This window comes from Homo sapiens, chromosome 4 (assembly GCF_000001405.40).
Source record: "Homo sapiens chromosome 4, GRCh38.p14 Primary Assembly".
Classification (NCBI taxonomy): Eukaryota; Metazoa; Chordata; class Mammalia; order Primates; family Hominidae; genus Homo; species Homo sapiens.
The window spans coordinates 56890680-56892069 of NC_000004.12; positions in this window are offsets into that span (position 1 = coordinate 56890680).

Consider the following 1390-nt stretch of genomic DNA (forward strand, 5'->3'; position numbering starts at 1 on the left):
CAGGAAACAACAGACACTAGAGAGGATGTGGAGAAATAGGAACACTTTTACAGTGTTGGTAGGAGTGTAAATTAGTTCACCCATTGTGGAAGACAGTGTGGCAATTCCTCTAGGATCTAGAACTGGAAATACCATTTGACCCAGCAATCCCATTACTGGGTATATACACAAAGGATTATAAATCATGCTACTATAAAGACACATGCACACGTATGTTTATTGTGGCACTATTCACAGTAGCAAAGACTTGGAACCAACACGAATGTCCATCAATGATAGGCTGAATGAAGAAAATGTGGCACATATACACCATGGAATACTATGCAGCCATAAAAAAGGATGAGCTCATGTCCTTTGCAGGGACATGAATGAAGCTGGAAACCATCATTCTCAGCAAACTATCACAAGGACAGAAAACCAAACACCAGGCTGGGTATGGTGGCTCACGCCTGTAATCCCAGCACTTTGGGAGGCCGAGGCGGGCGGATCATGAGCTCAAGAGACTCAGACCAGCCTGGCCAACATGGTGAAACTCTGTCTCTACTAAAAATACAAAAATTAGCTTGGTGTGGTGGTGGGCACCTGTAATCCCAGCTACTTGGGAGGCTGAGGCAGAAGAATCGCTTGAACCCGGGAGGCGGAGCTTGCAGTGAGCCGAGATCACACCACTGCACTCCAGCCTGGGCAACAGAGGGAGACTCCATTTCAAAAAAAAAAAAAAAGAAAACCAAACGCCACATGTTCTCACTCATAGGTGGGAATTGAACAATGAGAACACTTGGACACAGGGTGGGGAACATCACACACTGGGGCCTGTCGGGGGGTGGGGGCTGGGGGATGGATAGCATTAGGAGAAACACCTAATGTAAATGAGAAGTTGATGGGTGCAGCAAACCAACATGGCATATGCAACCTGTACATTGGGCACATGTACCCTAGAACATAAAGTATAATTTAAAAAAAAGAAAGAAAGTAGAAGTCTGGCCAGGCGCGGTGGCTCACACCTGTAATCCCAGCACTTTGGGAGGCCGAAGCAGGTGGCTCATGAGGTCAGGAGTTCGAGACCAGCCTGACCAATGTGGTGAAACTCCGTCTCTAGTAAAAATACAAAAATTAGCCGGGCTTGGTGGCATACGCCTGTAATCCCAGCTACTCAGGAGGCTGAGGCAGGAGAATTGCTTGAACCTGGGAGGTGGAGGTTGCAGTGAGCTGAGATTGCGCCACTGCACTCCAGCCTGGGTGACAGATCGAGACTCCATCTCAAAAAAAAAAAAAAAAAAAAAAGAAAGTAGAAGTCTTCTTTCATTCCACTTCCCTAATCCTTTTAAAATGTTATTCCAGGCCGGGTGTGGTGGCTCATGCCTGTAATCCCAGCACTTTGGGAGGCCGA